We start from the raw sequence: 19,416 nt of genomic DNA, 5'->3' as shown, positions 1-19,416 counted from the left end.
CTCCTTCCAGCCCCCACCTTTTCCTGCAGGACTTGGAATCTAGCTTCAGCTGCAAAAACAGGAACATACTTCTCACACCTGCTGATATTTATTTTCAAGCTAAGCCTGCATGGCATGGCTGTGGCCTTCCTTTCTTAAGGACAACATACATTTTCTGCTTACACAGATTCCTTCTCTCAGTCTGTCTGCACAGCCAGCCCCTTCTTATCTGGCCGGCAGCTGAGCTGAGCTGCTTTCAATGATACCTGGTTGTCCTTGAAGTAGCTTTTCTAACTGCTCAGGTAATAAATCAAGTTTGAAAAACTGGACCGTATTCCCAGCATAATCTGTATGCTATATGATGCTTCACAGGCGGATCTGGACTAAGAAGTAAAGGTAAATGGGATTATTTTGATGATTAGAGTAATGAGCACAAAGGAAATCCCTATGTGTGTGAGGATGAATTTAGTTTCTTTCTCTAATGGAGATATTTCGGGCACATGCACTTTCTAAATAGATCTAGGATCAGCACTGTGAGAGGAAGGCCACATTCTCTAATGTCCTCAGTCTAGGTCCTTAAATGTCTCATTTCTTTTTTCTTCAAAGGGCCAGATAGTAAATACTTTGGGTTTGTGGGCCATACAGTTTCTGTTGCAGCTACTCAACTCTGCCATTATGGTGTGTAAGCAGCCACAGAGAGCAGGTAAATGAATGAGTGTAACTGTGTTCCAATAAAGCTTTATTGACAAAGACAGAGAGTGGGGTGGGTTCAGTCTGTGGGCCACAACTGGTGGGCCCCTACCATGGAGTGTCACCAATGTCTGAAAACTATTTCCTTGAAGCATCAGCCAGTGGAGCAGAACCACATAAATGGTCATAACTTACAAGACGGAAATTATTTTGGTTTCCCAATGAAAAATGAAATAGGTGATTCTTTAGTCACCATACTTTTTTTTTTTTTTTTTTTTTGAGACGGAGTTTTCTCTGTTGCCCAGGCTGGAGTGCAGTGGTGCAATCTTGGCTCACTGCAACCTCCGCCTCCCAGGTTCAAGTGATTCTCCTGCCTCAGCCTCCTGAGTAGCTGGGATTACAGGCGCCTGCCACCACATCCGGCTAATTTTTGTAGTTTTAGTAGACATGAGGTTTCACCATGTTAGCCAGGCTGGTCTTGAACTCCTGACCTTAGGTGATCCACCTGCCTTGGCCTCCCAAAGTGCTGGGATTACAGGCATGAGCCACCACGCCCGGCTTAATCACCACACATTTTAGTGTAGTTCATACCCCTGACCAGAAAAATGTAATCTTCTGGGGCCTTTAACACACTAGACCAGCTGTCCCCAACCTTTTTGGCACCAGGGACTGGTTTCATGGAAGACAATTTTTCTATGGATGGGGGTTTGGGGGCAAGGTGGTTTCAGGGGTTGGGGTGATTCCACCTCAGATCATCAGGCGTAAGTTAGAGTCTCATAAGGAACGTGAAACCGAGATCCCTCACATGCACAGTTCTGAGAATCTAATGCCGCCACTGATCTGGCAGGAGGCAGGGCTCAGGCAGTAATGCTCACTCCCGCCACTCATCTCCTGCTGTGGGGCCTGTTTCCTAACAGGCCACAGACTGATACCAGTCCACAGCCTGGGGGTTTGGGCACCCCTACACGAGCATGGCCAAAAGGCTGCAAAGAATAATGCTGATAAGCCACGAACAGTTAATCAAACCTTTAAAAATGGTACAGTTAGGAACTGTGGCTGGCAAGGGAGGACGGAAGACCTAACTTCTCCTCCTCTCGTTCTTCATCATCCTTATCACTCTCAATAAAATATCTAGAAGACATTATAGCTTATGCATTGGCTTTGCTTAGTTGGCACGCGATTTTGATGTTTGCAGAGTGCTTTTTATGCCAACTTTCTCTCCGCTGTGGCTTCCAGTCTTCTGTCCCTTGCTTGTGCTTTAGCCCACACATGCAGATTAGATTTTTGGTAGCTCTGCAGTCAGATCAGAGCTGCAGGGATGTGGCTGCAGCTGTGAGTTCCTCCACTTACGGCAGCTAAAGGCATGCTTCTCCCAATATGAGTTATTGCCCCGTCTACTAATTGGCCTTACAATGATGATTTATCTCCTCTAACAGGGTCTCTCACTTTGGGGCTTTGCGATCACCTCAACATGAGGATAACCGTGATCACACACAAGAGACCAGAATTTCCCCCTATATCAAGTTTATTTGCCAAACAGGCAGTTTGAAAGATTTTATAGAAATGACGAGTTTTCAAGTTCAAAACATGTTCCATAGAATTTTATAAATACCTCGATGCTATATTATCAACAAATTAATGCATAGAGATCACTTAATATGTGATACACATTTATGATACATTTTAACTAATTAGGTAGCCTGCAGCTGACGTGATACAATGTTTTTCATTGTTTTGTTTTGAATGAATGAGCTCACTTTATTTCTGCCTAGACAAAGCTATATGCATTTACGGTTTCCTCCTGGGAGCTGCCTGAGCATATCCCAGTGGCTCTGTTTGCTGACTGTGGGAAGAGAATCAGATTTCACAGGCTGTGGCCCCAGATGGCTCTGTTCATTAAGAACTGTGAAGAGAGAGGGAAACTTGACAGAGAACCACCACAACGAGGGCCAAGGCTGCTCAGCAGAGATGCTTCAAGGATGTGCTGTACTGATATGGCAGGCTTCAGGGAGAAGCTGCCTGCTCACAGTTCCATGAATATAAAGGCAGTGCCGAGTAATTGAAGGAGGATGTGCTGAGGGCTTCACCTGAAATGCCACATTAACCAGGCTTCTTTGGGTAGAATGGGCAGGTGGTAGATTCATTGGTTGAACCAAATTTGTCGATGGTAGCTCCTTCATAACGTCATTTAAAATTTTTGTTTTTTTTTAAAGAGGCAGGGTCTCACTATGTTGCCCAGGCTGGAGTGCAGTGGCTATTCACAGGTTTGATCATCGCAGACTACAACCTCGAAGTCCTGACCTCAAGTGATTCTCTAGCTTCAGTCTCCCGAGCAGCTGGGGCTATAGGTGCATGCCTAGCTTCCACAATGTCATGTTAGTGTATAGGAAGATGCAATTATCTGTCTTGGCATCTTTTAAGAGGGAACTTGGGCTGGGCACGGTGGCTCACACCTGTAATCCCAGCACTTTGGGAGGCCAAGGCGGGCGGATCACCTGAGGTCAGGAGTTCGAGATCAGCCTGGCCAATGTGGTAAAACCCCGTGTCTACTAAAAATACAAAAATTAGCCAGGCATGGTGGCTGGCGCCTGTAATCTCAGCTACTTGGGAGGCTGAGGTAGGAGAATCGCTTTAACCCAGGAGGCGGAGGTTGCAATGAGCCGAGATGGCACCACTGTACTCCAGCCTGGGGGACAAAAATGAAACTCCGTCACACACACACACACACACACACACACACACACACACACGAGGGAACTTGATAAGTTACAATGTGAAGATTAGCAAAATGAGGAAAATCCTAACAGTCGAAAGGACGGTTGGATTTACAGGAGAGGCAAACCTCTTTTCAATACACTGATGACCTGTCTGCACCCACTGTTTATCTGTCTACCTATTTCTTTTCAAAGACACTAAAGAGGCTGCCCATTTTGAATAACTGTTGTTTTAATGAGTTGAAGGGCACAGAAGATCAAATTTTCATGAACACACTTCCTAAAATAGAAGTGTATTCACTTATATTTCAAAGGAATTGCTTTTAGAATTAGAGGAAAAGTGATTTTCCAGGGTTGTATCTTTGGATGCTTTTCCCTGTTTACATTCTGCCTCAAAATTACTATTTAGTTAGGCATGTATGCAATTTTTGAGGCCATTATAAAAGTCTTGGCATCCCAAGAGGAGTGAAATGATCATAATGAAGATAAATAAAATGAATTATTCCTATTAGCATTTTGCATGAGATTCGAGGTGTTTTGCCAGTAAACAAAGATACATGGGGACACGTGAAGAACAACTGTACTGCAAATTTCTCAGTTGTAATCTCGTTCTGCTCTTTAAATATTCAGGTCCATGTGCAAGCTCTGTATAGGGGCTACAGAAAAATCACATCCCATCAAGCCTGAAGCCAAATTTGGTGGGTGAGGGAGAAAGAGCACTATATGCAATGGAAATTATAGACTGGAAATGCCAACTTCACCACTGAAACAAAGAACAGATAATTCTTAATAAGTATACATGATTAGAGTTTCACTTATCATTTGAAAGAATCACAAGAATAGGCCAACTCTAAATTAAGGTACCAGCAAAAGAATTTTCCAGAGTACCTGCCTAGTTTTCAAAATGATTAATGAGACTTTGCTCAGCTGTAATGAACCATCAGCCATCCAGGTAGGGAAACATCTTTCGCTCGCACATTTAATTTCAGTGTTCTTTTGGCTAAGTGGGATCAAGGAAGATCATGGTGGCCGTGAAAGAATGTATCTGTGGGAGAATTCAAGGATTCCTTTTACATGGGCCTTTTGATAACTGAATATGTTTTTTAAAGATTTCATTCAAAACCTCCACATTATTTATTTTTCTTTTGAGAAAATCAACGAAGATATATGAGTTGTTATGGTTGCTAACTAACAACTGGCCTGTTTATTCCAGTAAAACATGATCTATTTCTCTCTCTTTTTTGAGAGATATTAATTTTAAGCACCGACTGGGTCAGAGGACTTTATTTTAAATCCTAGTTTGTCAGAAATTACTGTGTGAACTTGGCTAGTAGTGTAGCCTCTATCAGCCATTTACCTGTAAAATTAAGGCTAGATGCAGTGATAGTAAATGTCCATTTAAGTTCTAAAATGTTCTATTACACTCTGAGATCCTAATGATACAGTTGTGAAGTGGGTGAAGAAACTCACCAAAGAACTGGGATAACTGGCTAGCTATATGCAGGGGATTGAAACTGGACCTGCTCCTTACACCATATACAAAAATCAACTCGAGATAGATTAAAAGACTTAAAACCTAAAACTATAAAAACCCTGGAAGATAACCTAGGAAATACCATTCTGAACACAAGACCTGGCAAAGATTTCATGAAGATGCCAAAAGCAATTGCAACGAAAAAAAAAATTGACAAATGGCACCTAATTAAACCAAAGAGCTTCTGTACAGCAAAAGAAACTGTCAACAGAGTAAACAGACAAGCTACAGAATGGGAGAAAATATTTGCAAACTATACGTCCAACAAAGGTCTAATATCCAGCATCTATAAGAAACTTAAATTTACAAGCAAAAAACAAACAACCCCATTAAAAAGGACATGAACAGACACTTTACAAAAACAGAAATCCATGTGGCCAACAAACATGAAAAAATGCTCAACATCATTAATTATTAGAGAAATGCAAATCAAAACCACATATCATCTCACACCAGTCAGAATGTCTATTATTAAAAAGTCAAAAAATAATAGATGCTGGCAAGGTTGTGGGGAAAAGAGAATGCTTACATGCTACTGGTGGGATTGTAAACAGCCATTGTGGAAAGCAGTTGCTATTTCTCAAAGAACTTAAAACAGAATTACCCGTCGACCTTGCAATCCCGTTACTGGGTATATACCCAAAGGAACAGAAATCATTCTACCATAAAGACACATGCACATGTGTGTTCATCACAGCACTATTCACTGCCCACAGTGAAGACATGGAATCAACCTAAATACTGTTGCGGGAAGTCAGGGACCCCAAACAGAGGGACCGGCTGAAACCATGGCAGAAGAACATGGATAGTGAAGATTTTACGGACATTTATTAGTTCCCCAAATTAATACTTTTGTAATTTCTTATGCCTGTCTTTACTCAATCTCTAAACATAAATTGTAAAGATTTCATGGACACTTATCACTTCCCCAATCAATACCCTTGTGATTTCCTATGCCTGTCTTTACTTTAATCTCTTAATCCTGTCAGCTGAGGAGGATGTATGTCGCCTCAGGACTATGTGATAATTGCATTAACTGCACAAATTGTACAGCATGTGTGTTTGAGCAATATGAAATGTGGGCACCTTGAAAAAAGAACAGGATAACAGCAATTGTTCAGGGAATAAGAGAGAGAAACTTAAACTCTGACTGCCGGTGAGCCGGGCAGAACAGAGCCATATTTCTCTTCCTTCAAAAGCAAATGGGAGAAATATCGCTGAATTCTTTTTCTCAGCAGGGGATATCCCTGAGAAAGAGAATGTGCAGCTAGGGTTAGGTCTCTGAACTTGAACTGGCCCCCCGGGGCGTACCTGTCTCTTATGGTTGAGACTGCAGGGGTGAAATAAACTTGTCTCCCATAGCGCTCCCAGGCTTATTAGGAAGAGGAAATTCTCACCTAATAAATTTTGGTCACACTGGTTGATCTCAAAACCCTGTCTCCTGATAAGATGTTTTATCAATGACAATGGTGCCCGAAACTTCATTAGCAATTTTAATTTCGCCTGGCAGCTGTGGTCCTGTGATCTCGCCCTGCCTCCACTTGCCTTGTGATATTCTATTACCCTGTTAAGTACTTGATGTCTGTCACCGACACCTATTCGCGCACTCCCTCCCCTTTTGAAAACCCCTAATAAAAACTTGCTGGTTTTTGTGGCTTGTGGGGCATCATGGATCCTACCAACGTGTGATGTCTCCCCCGGACGCCCAGCTTTAAAATTTCTCTCTTTTGTACTCTGTCCCTTTATTTCTCAAGCCAGCCGATGCTTAGGGAAACTAGAAAAGAACCTACGTGATTATCGGGGCAGGTCCCCTGAAAAAATACCCATCAATGGCAGACTGGATAAAGAAAATGTGGTACATATACACCATGGAATACTATGCAGCCATAAAAAAGAATGAGATCATGTTCTTTGCAGTAACACTGATGGAGCTGGAGGCCATCATCCTTAGCAAACTAACACAGGAACAGAAAACCAAATACCACATGTTCTCACTTACAAGTAGGATCTAAACACTGAGTACACAAAGACACAAAAAAGGAAGCAACAGGCACTGGGGCCTGCATGAGGGTGGAGGGTAGGAGCAGGTTGAGGATCAAAAAACTACCAAACTACCTATCAGGTACTATGCTTATTACCTGGGTGACAAAATAATTTGTAAACCAAACCCCCACTATATGGAATTTATCTCTATAATAAACCTGTACGTGTACCCTTGAACCTAAGGTTTTTTTTTTCTTTTAAAAGAAACTCATTAAAGAGTTTCCAACAAGTCATAGGCCCAAGGTCCACACAGTGACAAAAATCTCTGAGCCAGTCTGAAAGGCCTAGATGAGATATTTGAATATTCCCTGCAGTAAAATCACCTTTTAACCAAGGTTTAGGCCATTATTTGGATGCTTCATAAAATGATTTAAATCAGAGTTTATTCATTGCCTCCTGGTAAGTTCACAAGTGACTGAGAAATCCTTTCATGGTAAAATTATGAGAGAAATGACACATCTTTGTGGCTGTTTTAAGCTCATAAGTGGTTATAAGGTTGTAGAAAAGAAAAAAAGAACATCTCGCAAAAAAAAAAAAAAAAGTGGTCTGACAACTCAAGTTGAAGTTGTTCACATTAATGCACAAGTTTAAGAGGAAAAAAACCTCAGAATCAGATGTTCAGATTATTCAGTGTTTACATGATCAGAGCCCTGACTCATTCCCATTCTTTTGGGGGATATTTTAAAGGAAAAAAAAATGGCAAGAGAAATAATCTAAAATACATTCACACCCATAAAAGAATTTGCTACAGAGAGATCTGCGCCTTCTTCATGGAACTTGCTGTGTCTTTTCCAGTTGAAAGCAGAAAACAGTAAGCATACTTTGACTCACTCATCTAAACCTTCTGAGAAGCATAATTATCTAGCTACCTTTTAAATAACACCCATTACAGAGCTGTGCACACAGTTGGTGCTTAATCAATAGTTTCCAACTGAATCAACTGGCTGAAGCTGAGGTTCCCATGTTCTCCCTTAGTAACTTGTTTCCCTGGAAATTTAACCTTAAACTCATATAAAACAAACTCACTCGAGCTCAAAGTCCACTGTTCCTTTTTGTGATTTCTCAGTTGTAGTTAAGCTAGTTTTTCCTTTAAAGCAAAAGCAATGTTGATTTTTTTGAGTCTGTTTTCTCAAATTGAGATCATTTTGATTTCCATAAGTTGCTTTACTAAACTTAGCCTTAGGTGCAAATTCATTGATATAGACCATGGGCATTAGTGACCTCCATGTACTCGCCCCAAGACAGACCCCTCTGGCAATCCAGGTGATATGCTCCATTCAGATGTACCTGGTGCCCCTGAATTCCAACTGCTAATTGTGGAAAGTCTTTTAATCAAGTCTCTTATAGCTGTGACAGTCCCTTTACACAAGTGCAAGAATCATGACCTAAAGACCTGTGTGGCAACTGTAGGCTCAGTGGAATTGTGGAAAAGGTCCTTTACGCTCATCCAACACTGCGTGTGCTTCTCTATGTTTTCCACACTCCCTTGAAGTGAGATTGGGTTCTGATGAATGGACTGTGAGCAGAAGTGATGTGTGTGCCTCCTCTGCCTGCTCTTCCCTTGCTATTGAGATTGGAGTCATGTGTTCTAGAAGCATGTAATGGCTATCTGACGGATCAAGGCTACCAGATCCACATTAGGCTTAACTCCAGTGAGAAATAAACCTTTGCTGCTTTAGGTGACTGGGATTTAGGATTTTCCTGTTAGGGCAACTAGCATTACTTATTCCTTTTTTTTTTTTTTTTTTTTGAGACAGAATCTCACTCTGTTGCCCAGACCGGAGGAGTGCAGTGGTGCAAACTCAGCTCATTGCAACCTCCATCTCCTGGGTTCAAGCGATTCTCCTGCCTCAGCTTCCCAAGTAGCTGGGACTACAGGCCTGTGCCACCACACCTGGCTAGGTTTTTTTTTTTTTGCATTTTTAGTAGAGATGGGGTTTTACCTTGTTGGCCAGGCTGGTCTTGAACTCCTGATATCAAGTGATCCACCTGCCCCGGCCTCCCAAAATGCTGGGATTACAGGTGTGAGCCACTGCGCCCACCCAGCATTACTTTTTCTAATAAGAGTCGAGCATGATACAGTATTCAGACTCACCAGGAGAGGGAAGGAACTAGCATTCATTATCTACTACAGTTGAAAGTCTTACTCATTTGGTGCTCTGGATGACCTTGTGTGGGAGGTCCGTTTTACAGATGTGGAAACTAAGGCTTGACAGGGGCCCAGCTAGTAAGTGGTGAAGAGCTTTCAAGCTCAGGTCCAGCTCCAAAGTCTTTGATTTCTCTTCTTACTAGCCCATTGCTTCTCAAACTTTAGTGTGCATCAGAATCATGCTGGTTAAAATGCAGATTCCTGCACGCCACCTCCCACCCGGCCCAAGAATTTCTGATTCTGGGTCTGGGGTGGGGCCTGAGAATATGCATTTTCAACAAATTCCCAGGGGATGCTGATGCCATTAGCCCAAGGGCCACACCAGGAGAACCACTGCATTGGACCTCTGTTCCCCACATTGCAACAGGCACAGGTATTACTGAAATGCAATAAAAAAGCCCAGTTAAGCCCGAGATAGAAGAACATCTCCTTTCCTCTTCTTCATTCCATGCCTTATCTCTCCCTTGAGTACATTTGCACATAGCTTGACCCACTGCCACTGTGGAACTCTACAGTCCACCAAGATACCTACCAAACCACAGGTCCTTGGGAGGGAAGCTCTGTTCAACATAAAAACTCAACCAAACTACACATTTTTTCCAGTGGGTTTGCCAGAAATAGGAAAACCCTGGATTTAGAAGATGTGCTTCTCTTTGCCCTTTATCATCTCTGAGATCATTGGTTCAGTTTCCTCATCTACAGAATGGGATTCCCAGTAGCGGCCACCTTGCAGGGTTGCATGGAGATTATTAGATGAGGTGCTGATGGGGAAACACTTTATCTACAGCAACAGGCTTTAAAGTTATAAATGGCACGTATCAGGGACCTTCGCCCTGAGAGGTCTTTAAATGTAGATGGATTGATTCTTCTTTCACTTAGCCAAATATCCTGGCTGGGTACAGTGGTTCATGCCCGTAATCCCAGCTCTTTAGGAGGCTGAGGTGGGCGGATCACTTGAGTCCAGGAGTTTGAGACCAGCCCAACCAACAGGTCAAAACCCCATTTCTACTAAAAATACAAAAATTAGCCAGGTGTGGTGGCACACTCCTGTAGTCCCAGCTACTTGGGAGGCTGAGGCACGACAATCACTTGAACCTGGGGCGGGTGGAGGTTGCAGTGAGCCAAGATTGCGCCACTGCACTCCAGCCTGGGCAACAAAGTCAGACTCCATCTCAAAACAAAACAAAACAAAACAAAAAAACAACAACAAAAAAAAACCCACAACGAATATCCTAAGAAACACAGCCTTTCTTCTGCCTTCTGCTTAGATTAACAAACAAGAACAATCATTACAGATTAGGGGAAAATCACCTGAGAACAAAAAGTTGCTGTGAGTAATAAACAGCCCAGTCTTTGAAGCTTCCTCTTCATCTACCCTAAGAAGAGCCTCTTAAAATGTGACCATGCAGCCCAGAAGATTCATCCATTCCCTGCTTAGTCTGCAGTTGAGTATAGCTGTGCTCTCCCCACCCCCTGCACCCAAAATTTGAAATGCTGCTGGAATAATCAGTTGTTTAAAAAAGCTATGAAATATAAAACAAAGTAAGACTCACAACCTCCAAGAATGGCCACTTTTTTTTTTTTTTAAAGAAACTTTGCAAGTTTAAACACTAAGATCGATTGTGTTCCCACTGGGTAAAAGGCAGCTCTTTGTCCACCACACTTACTGTATCACTGAAAAATGTACAGACTGCCGGGGCAGCCGCAAGTCACAGATGCAGAGAACTAACGGTGCTCTCCAAGATGTGGCTCTGCTCCTCAACATGCGGTACTGGGCTTGCAGACGGGGCCTCCTCTCCTCCTGACACACAGGCATGGACATACACACAGAGTCGAGGCTCAGAAACTCTGTCCTAGCAACAGGATGTCAAGAGTTCAGTCTTTGCTGTAGCTCTTAACAGCTAGAGGCTGGGTAAGAGGGCAAGAGGCCATGCAGATCCCTGCAAGGGCTCTGAGACATGTTCAATGGCTGTAGGTCCCTGTGATGGCTGTGACCCATGGCTCAATGCCAGAACCTCTACATGTGTGGTTTTGAAGTTTTATTCTACCTCCTTCCAATGCGTCTTGCTCAAGTCTTCTTATCCAGACAGCTTTCTCACCTTCCATTGATTTTTTTTTTAAATAAGCCCCAGCGAACATGTGGTTTCTTTAACTTTCTATCAAACAGGTAGTGCTATAGCCTGAGCTCATCTGAGCACCTTTCAGAAGATGTCAGCATTCCCAAAGAGCTCTCAAAAAGGATTTTCTATTGCGTGCAGTGAGTTCATAAAAGATGTCAAATTACCTGAAAGCAGCTTAGCTACACGAAGTCCACGCATTTGTGGTACAAATGTTGTAGAACTCAATAAATACATTCAAGTTATGCTCACCCTGACCTGACTTGCTCCCAACACACAATTTCAGTTTGGTGACTGGCGTCTTCCTTCAGTTTTATGGGAGGTCTCAGAATCCTCCCAGTTTTATGGGAAGTCTCCCTGGCCTGAGCCACCCCCACCCAGGCTTTGTGGATCTGAAGATGAGCGAATACCAGGGCGGTCTTTCCGTTTCTCTCCTGTGCCCCCTAAGCTGTGCCCCACTCCCTGCTCCTCCACAGCTGAGATGAAGATGAGGATGAGGAGGAGGATGATGATGGTGATGATAATGGCGCACAACCTCAAGGGCTAGGCCTACAAGCATGGCCTCTAAAACTTCACTCCAGTCTATTTTCCTTCCTTTTTTCTTTGGAGTGGTAATTCACAGTGACACGTATCCAGGGACACTAAGTAAGTCCAAGTTGAATTGACATCATAGAGCCTTTTATTGTTATTCCTATTTTTAGAAAGTGTTTCTGCAGCAGAAGAAATTACCTAGCCAGGGGAGATGCCAGCTCACACTCAGCATTAGTCCTTAGATTCCTGGGGAGACACTATTTGGCACTTTGGAGCTAGGTGTCGGTGTGTCAGACTCACCGCACCAATTTTCCCCAACCATAAACACTACCCAAACTACATTTAGAAGTCAAGATTACTGTATTTTATTGCCTGTGCTACAAGCATAAAAAATGGATTTCAATTTTCTCTCTTGAACACCGTACCATGATTTAAAGCAGCGCATAATCCTTGGTACATATTATTTCATATTCTGCTTATAGCAACAATGGTGTAGACTACTTAGGAGTATAAAATACAGATTTAGGATACTTTTTCTATCTAGCATATTATGAAATTCTAAATAAGACAGAGTAACATACTAGGTTTCATGGAGATGATCAGACTATTATCTCACTATCTCATTCACTAAGTCACAGTAATGATAAAGTAGTGAGGAGGAGAGAAAAGAGGAAGAATTTCGGTCCTTTACGAAGGAGAAAACTACATCTGATCTACCCCATGGGGCTTAGTGCCAGTTTCCACGCCTTCAGTGTAGATTGAAGCTATCAGCGTCACTAGGTGCTTTAACCTTAAACCCGTCTGATTCCCAGGCTGTGGGTGTTAAGGAAAAGAAAGCAGTGACGCTACTTCACCAGCCTCAACCAAATTAATGTGTTCTTCAGGAGTCACTTGTAGACATTCTGCAGCAAGCTAACTAAATTCCTAAAACAAAGACCTGGAGCAAGTGCTCATTTTTAGGAATATGGCATACTGATTAACAATCAATCCACACAAATAAGTAAAGTCATGCACCTCATAACAACCTTTGGGTAACGGACTGCATATGGGACTGTGGTCCCAAAATATTATAATACTGTATTTTTATTCTACCTTTTCTATGTTTACATGCACAAATACCATTGTGTTACAATTGCCACAGTATTCAGTACTGTAACATACCACACAGGTTTGTAGTTGAGGAGCAATAGGCTTTACCATCTAGCCTAGTGTGTAGTAGACTCTACCATCTTGGTTTGTGTGAGTACACTTCATGATGGCCACACAATGACAAAATTGCCTGACACATTTCTCAAAATGTAATCCCATCGTTAAGCAATGTATGACTGTACATTCAAACTAATTTGGATTCTACAGATGCTAATTTTAAATTGCTACTGATATACACATACACGTGCTCACATTTACATTTACAACATACCTACTATTCCTGTCTCATTGTCTCCTCGGCATGTGCAGTGCATGCACACAGACTTCATGAATATACTATAAATAGAATAAACTACACCATCCAGGTCCAAGATTTAAAACAGGAGGCCCAGAACTGAGATGGAGTCATTGGGCTGAATTCAGTCCACAAATATATATTTTTGCCTATCTCATTTTTTTTTTAAAAGAGGGGTCTCATTCTGTTGCTCAGGCTGGAGTGCAGTGGCACAATTATAGCTCACTGCAGCCTCGACCTCCTGGGCTCAAGGGATCCTCCTACCTTAGCCTCCCAAGCAGCTGGGACTACAGGTGGACGCCATCATGCCCAGTTAATTTTTAAGAATTTGTTTTGTCAACATGGGGTCTGTGTTGTCCAGGCTGGTCTCAGACTCCTGGGCTCAAGTGATCCTTCTACTTTGGCCCCCCAAAGTGCTGGGATTATAGGCATGAGCCACTGTGCCAGTCCTATAAAGTCTAAAAAAATTGAAATTGTCATTTTAAAAATCCAGATTCTTTTTTTCAGAAGAGCTAACAAACTAGTCCTTCATTTTTGCAAAACAACAGGGGGTTGAAGCTGAACAGTGATGGCCTCTTGATGCAAGGGTGGACTTTTCATTTCGCCCCTGTTCCTAACACTCCCTATTCATCTCCTCACTGTCTGCTTCACTTCTGTGCAATATCTGTCTCTTCCCACATGCATTTGGGGTCATGGTCCCTTCTCTAGGTAAACCCACTTGAAACTTCTCCAAGGGTTATGGATTGAATTCTGTCTTCCTAAAACTTCTAGGTTGAAATCCTAATCCCAGTACCTCAGAATGTCCCCTTATTGAGACAGGGTCTTTACAGGGATAATCATGTTAAAATGAGGTCTTTAGGGTGGGGTAGTGGGCCCTAATCCAGCATAACTGGTGTCCTTATAGAAAGGGGAAATCTGAACACAGAGATACACACAGAGGGAGAGCATCATGCAGAGACGAAGGCAGAGATTGATGTGATGCATCCACAAGCCAAGGAAGACCAAAGATTCCCAGCAAACACGAGAGGCCGGGAGAGACGCCTGGAACAGATGCTCCCTCGCAGCCCTCAGAAGGAACCAACTCTGCTGACACCTGGATCTCAGACTTCCAGCCTCTAAAACTCCGAGACAATGCATTTCTGTTGTGTATGCCACTTGATTTGTGGGACTCTGTTATGGCAGCCCCAGCAAATGAATACACCAAGTAGCTTAAATAAAGTCAGTATCTTCCTTTGATCATTGGGAATAATCATAGGTGAGTGGTCTGCATTATTGGCTATGTCTAGCTTAGGAAAAGGACATCACAAGGAGAAATATTCTTTCCCAAACCAAGTGACCAGGCTTCCAAGAGCTTCTACATAGAGATGCATCCAACTAGAAGTGGGGAGTCTCCCTGCTCCAGCTCAGGTGATGAAAAAATTCTGGTCAACTCTGACTGCCAAAAAAAAAAAAATGCCCATAGTTCATTCCTGAGTAGGAGGGTGATATTTCAAGGGTGAAGGGATATTTTAGGGGAAGGAGTATGTCAGGGAGGTAGACAGCCCCAATCCTCATTTACTCCTGAGCTCACTTTAGATGATAAACTCCTGTGTATATGGTGAGGCACTTTCCATTTTATTTTTCTTTTGCAGGCTTTTTCTTTCATCTGGTCCAAACAACAAAGAGGGTATGGGTGGGGACAGAGGACCTCAGTTGGAGAGGACTGGGCCAGTCGATCCTCTGTTGGGTCTGAAGAGCTAGCCGTTCCCTAGGTGAGGTCCCAAGTAGACTGGCTGTTGTCTGACCACAAATAGGTCATGTTTTGGAGTCTTAGTCCCTTCCTTTAAAAATGAGTAGCCCTATCAACTTACTGAATGACTGACTTTTTATAGGATGTTTCAGAATCAAAAGCACAACTTGTTAGGCATTAGGTTACTCTTTAGTTCCAGAACACCCCATACCTAGTGATCTGAAGCTCCAACTTCTGGGGGTTTCACTTCACCAACCTGTCAGTGTCATAGGCTGGAAAGTGAGGAAGTGCCAGAGCATGCTGTCTCTGGCAGATCACGAGGTCGCCCTGACAGGGCACCCTAACTATGAACTTTGAGAAGCATGGCTCTGTGTCTAATTTTTTAATACTGATTTTTTGGAGTAGTATGTTCAATTATATTTCAAATAAACAAAATGGAGTCATGAGGGAACATTACTCTGGTGGGAATAAAAAGCTTGGCAAATGAACAGAACTAGAAGTAGATCTGATGGCTAAGATCCCATAGTCAGGGCACCTCCTAGTTCAGGATGCAGAATCCCAAGAGGAGATCTAGAGAGAATGCAGAATGGTTTTGCATGGGGCGGGGTAGGTGGGGTGAGGGATTGCCCTGAGGTCTCTGTGTGTCCACTGGAGATGAAAAGTGCTACTCATGTAGCACTGAGAAGTGACACTCAAACCAGTGGATTCTAAGAGAACTTCATCAATACGAATCTAAGCAAATGTCCCCATAGGTACCATTCCTTTATGTATAAGACACAGGTACTACTGCAGTGATACACCATGCGCATTACAATTCAGGCACAAATAACCATATTAAAAAGGATCATATGAAATGAATGTAAATAGAAGCTCTACAATTTTTGCCTGGCACCCCAGTGGATGGCATCATTCACCACCCCTTGGTCCTCTGTGCCATCCTGAAGTTCAAAGTCTGTATACATATGGAGGAGGAGCAACGTGAACCCTGTTGACCAATGTTCATGTCTCTGGGGCAGTCCACACGTCTCCAATGGCAGTGGACTGAAATAGTTATTTATTAAAAAATCCAGATGACTTGCTTATTGAGACTTAGTAGAGTCTGCCCAATAGCCTCAACAAGTGAACATTTTTGGAAGCACAGTAATTTTGGCATTTTTATGTAGAAACTCTGCCTTAATGCTGGGAGGTTCTGCAGAAGTTGACATCATTTTACTTGGTGTTTCTGTTTCCCATTCCTCACCCTCAATTTGGGATTATTCTTAGAATGCTACACATCGTGGTCTTTTTTTTTTTCTTATGTTATTGGAACTGTCAGGCTAAAATTATGTTTTCTATCTTGCTGACTCCATGAGGACCACAGACTTGGCCACATGCTTTTCAAAGAGCCTAAGATTTCCAGTACATTAATAGCCAGAGAATGCTGCAGCCTTGTAGCTTCAGAAATGCCAACTCTACAGCACATGTCTACATTCTTTTAGTTACTTTTTGTGATCATAAAGCACATATTTTGCACACAGTAATCAGATGACCTAGTCTAATGCCCTCAGGGCAAATGACTAGGGAATGAAAGAATCAGAGCCAGAACCCAAACTTCTACTCCAGAGTAGCTCGCTCTCTACCACAGTCACTTTTTGGTTCTTGGATTTCCCCTTCATTCTGCCCTGGCTTCAGGATGAATGGGTGGCTAGAAGCACAGAGTTGAGCTCTCAGTTCTAAAGGGAATAGTCCCTAAAACTCTTTGGGTCTGCATTAATGGCTGTGCTACCTCAAAAATGACCTTGAGGTATAGATATGGCCTATCTGCCTGATGTGCTGATCTCTGTACAACTTTGCCAATTTGCTAGGCATGCCTGACAGTCTGTCCTTTAGGTACAGTCCCTGCAATCTGGCTAGAGCTTCCAAGGGTCTTACCACAAAGAAAGAAACTCCCTAGTTGAAAGAGTGAAGGACAAAGTGGATTCAGAGGAAGGATGCAGGCCATCTCAATGGCTTGAATATGCTGCCTTCTCTACTTTGTCTTTCTGTCCCTAGTTGATGTGTCTTCTCCTGCTGGTAAGGTTTGGTTCTGTGTCCCCACCCAAATCTCACCTTGAATTCTAATCCCCATAATCCCCATGTGTCAAGGGCAGGACCAGGTGGAGGTAACTGAATCATGGGGGCAGTTTCCCTCATGCTGTTCTCATGATAATGAGTAGGTCTCACGAGATCTGATGGTTTTATAAGCATCTGGCATTTCCTCTGCTTGCACTCATTCTCTCTCCAGCCACCCTGTGAAGAGGTGCCTTCTGCCATGATTGTAAGTTTCCTGAGACCTCTCCAGCCATGGGAAACTGTGAGTCAATTAAACCTCTTTTCTTTATAAATTACCCAGTCTCAGGTATTTCTTCATAGCAGCAAACTGAATAATACACCTGCCATCCACCATAATGAAAGAGGGCTGGGAACAATGTATACTATGGTAAACCTTCAGTGGATGTCCTTATAAGGGGAAGAGTTGGGAAAGGGCTGATTTACCAGGATAAGATTTCAGATGCAGATAACTTCTTTCAGGGCATGGACGGTTTATGTCTCTTCCCACCTCTGGGTTTTGTGACTGCCTTTGCTAGCTAATCATGGTGGTGGCTTGTGGATATGTATTCAGGCAGGAGAGGCTGGGATTGTCTCCCTTTTTAGGAGTATGCTCTGGGGCAATGGTGCCCTTTTTTACTGTGTTAGTCTAAACCAGGTGCAAGGACCCCACAGTGAACAAGCAGGTGGCCAGCCTCACAGGCCGACTTCCTATGCTTCCCATCTCTCTCTCACACTTGGCACAGAAGAGGTCACTGGGGCAGCCAGATGCTCTGGCATCTCACTCCCATCTGCAGATAAATCTTCATTTGCCCCTCACATACCTGGGGCTCTCCTTGTACTGTAGCAGAGCTGGAGGAATGGGAAGTGAGGGGAAGGAGCTATAATAAAAGATCTGCTCCTTCTCTTTTTTCTGATTCCCTAGAGGATAATGTGTAAACTTGAACAAGCTGGGTCAGGAGTAGCCCAGAACCACACCCACCCACCCCAACCACCCTCAGAACCGAGATCTCGTTCTATGTAACCTGAGAGAGATTGGGGAAGCCAGGATCATTGTCTTCAAGTATGCTACAGCATGCCATGTTATGGGGGATGAGGGTGCAGAAAACACAGAATAAGACCAATGGGTGGGAGTGGCATGGACAGATTTCAGTTCAATATTGGAAGAATGTCTAAGAATAAGGCTCTCCAACAATGGGACAGGCTCTCTAGAGAGCTGTAACTATCACTGAGGTATTAAAAGAGAAGGCCATGTTACTTCAGTCAATGACAGAAAGTATGTATGTGTGTGTGGCAGGTGGTTAGATGTTTTCATTCTATGACTCTAAAGACTGCATAACACTACGTCCAATCATCCATCAGTGTTGACCATTTTACAAAGCCCTGTACCATTACAATATCCTCCAAGAGGAAACCAAGTTAATTTTGAAAAAGAAGCTGCTCTTAGGTAGCAAAATAAATCAGGTGGGAGGGAAGAATACTGGCATACTGTTGGATGATGCCTATGTCTACATAACCTCTAGGCACCACCTTTCTCACTTGTACAATGCAAAGGTGATGGTGAAAACAGGTAACTGATTGCTTGCTATGGGCCAGATACTGTTTTAAATACTTCTATTAACTTGCTTAATTTTCACAACTCACTCTTTTACATATGCAGAAACACAGGTAAGGAGAATAAGTGACTTACTTAAGGCTATACACCTAGTAAGAGGGAGAATCAGAATTAAGCCCTGGTAGACTTCCACACATTATGTCCAGGCACTCACAACAGTGTCTGGTACAAAGTAAGGGCTCAAGAGAGAGAATTCCAGAGCTGTGCTGTGTGACATTATGCAAAGTAACCAAAGTTCTCTATGCCTGGTATTCTCATCTGTAAAATGGGTATACAAATGGTGTATCTTATAGACAGGCTCAAAGACAAACAATGTAATACATATAAAATGTTTAGAGAATGGTGGCAAATAGTAAGTACTCAACAAAGGTTACCTAATGTCACATAAACATGCCCTTGATTACAAATACATACATGGGTGGTTAATATCTTAATATAACATAAAGCTATGCCCATGTCTGTAATATCCATACATAAAGGGCAATCACTCAAAATGAGTCCCAGTGGAGTAATGAAGCATCACTACCAACCACTTAACCGTATATCAGAGAGTGTGTTTGTCTGATTGCTTTGTGCTTAATCAAACCACACCTTATCTCTCCATAGGTCCTCAATTCTATTACATGATGGAGGCTGTTCTTCCTTCCTTCCTTCTTTCCTTCCTTCCTTCCTTCCTTCTTTCCTTCCTCCCTCCCTCCTTCTCTTTCGCTCTCTCTTTCTCTTTCCTTCTTTCTCTTTCCTTCTTTCTTTCTCTTTCCTTCTTTCTTTCTCTCTTTCCTTCTTTCTTTCCCCTTCCTTCCTTCC

The 19,416-nt window shown here is 42.8% G+C and overlaps 1 protein-coding gene across 20 annotated transcripts in view, besides 1 other annotated feature; it reads right to left on the bottom strand.

Annotated features, from left to right (window-relative positions):
- PHACTR1 (phosphatase and actin regulator 1) overlaps positions 1-19,416 on the bottom strand; it is a 571,071-nt gene that overhangs the window by 37,092 nt on the left and 514,563 nt on the right. The gene's annotated exons all lie outside the window — the stretch shown is intronic.
- Positions 2,375-2,669: an enhancer, noted in NCBI's record as "tiled region #805; HepG2 Activating non-DNase unmatched - State 8:EnhW". NCBI's record gives its function as "activates a minimal TATA promoter and a strong SV40 promoter by Sharpr-MPRA in HepG2 cells {active_cell/tissue: HepG2}" and the evidence as "EXISTENCE:reporter gene assay evidence [ECO:0000049][PMID:27701403]".

This window comes from Homo sapiens, chromosome 6 (assembly GCF_000001405.40).
Source record: "Homo sapiens chromosome 6, GRCh38.p14 Primary Assembly".
Classification (NCBI taxonomy): Eukaryota; Metazoa; Chordata; class Mammalia; order Primates; family Hominidae; genus Homo; species Homo sapiens.
The sequence above is the reverse complement of the archived record's forward strand: the minus strand, read 5'-3'. Positions and strand labels throughout refer to the sequence as shown.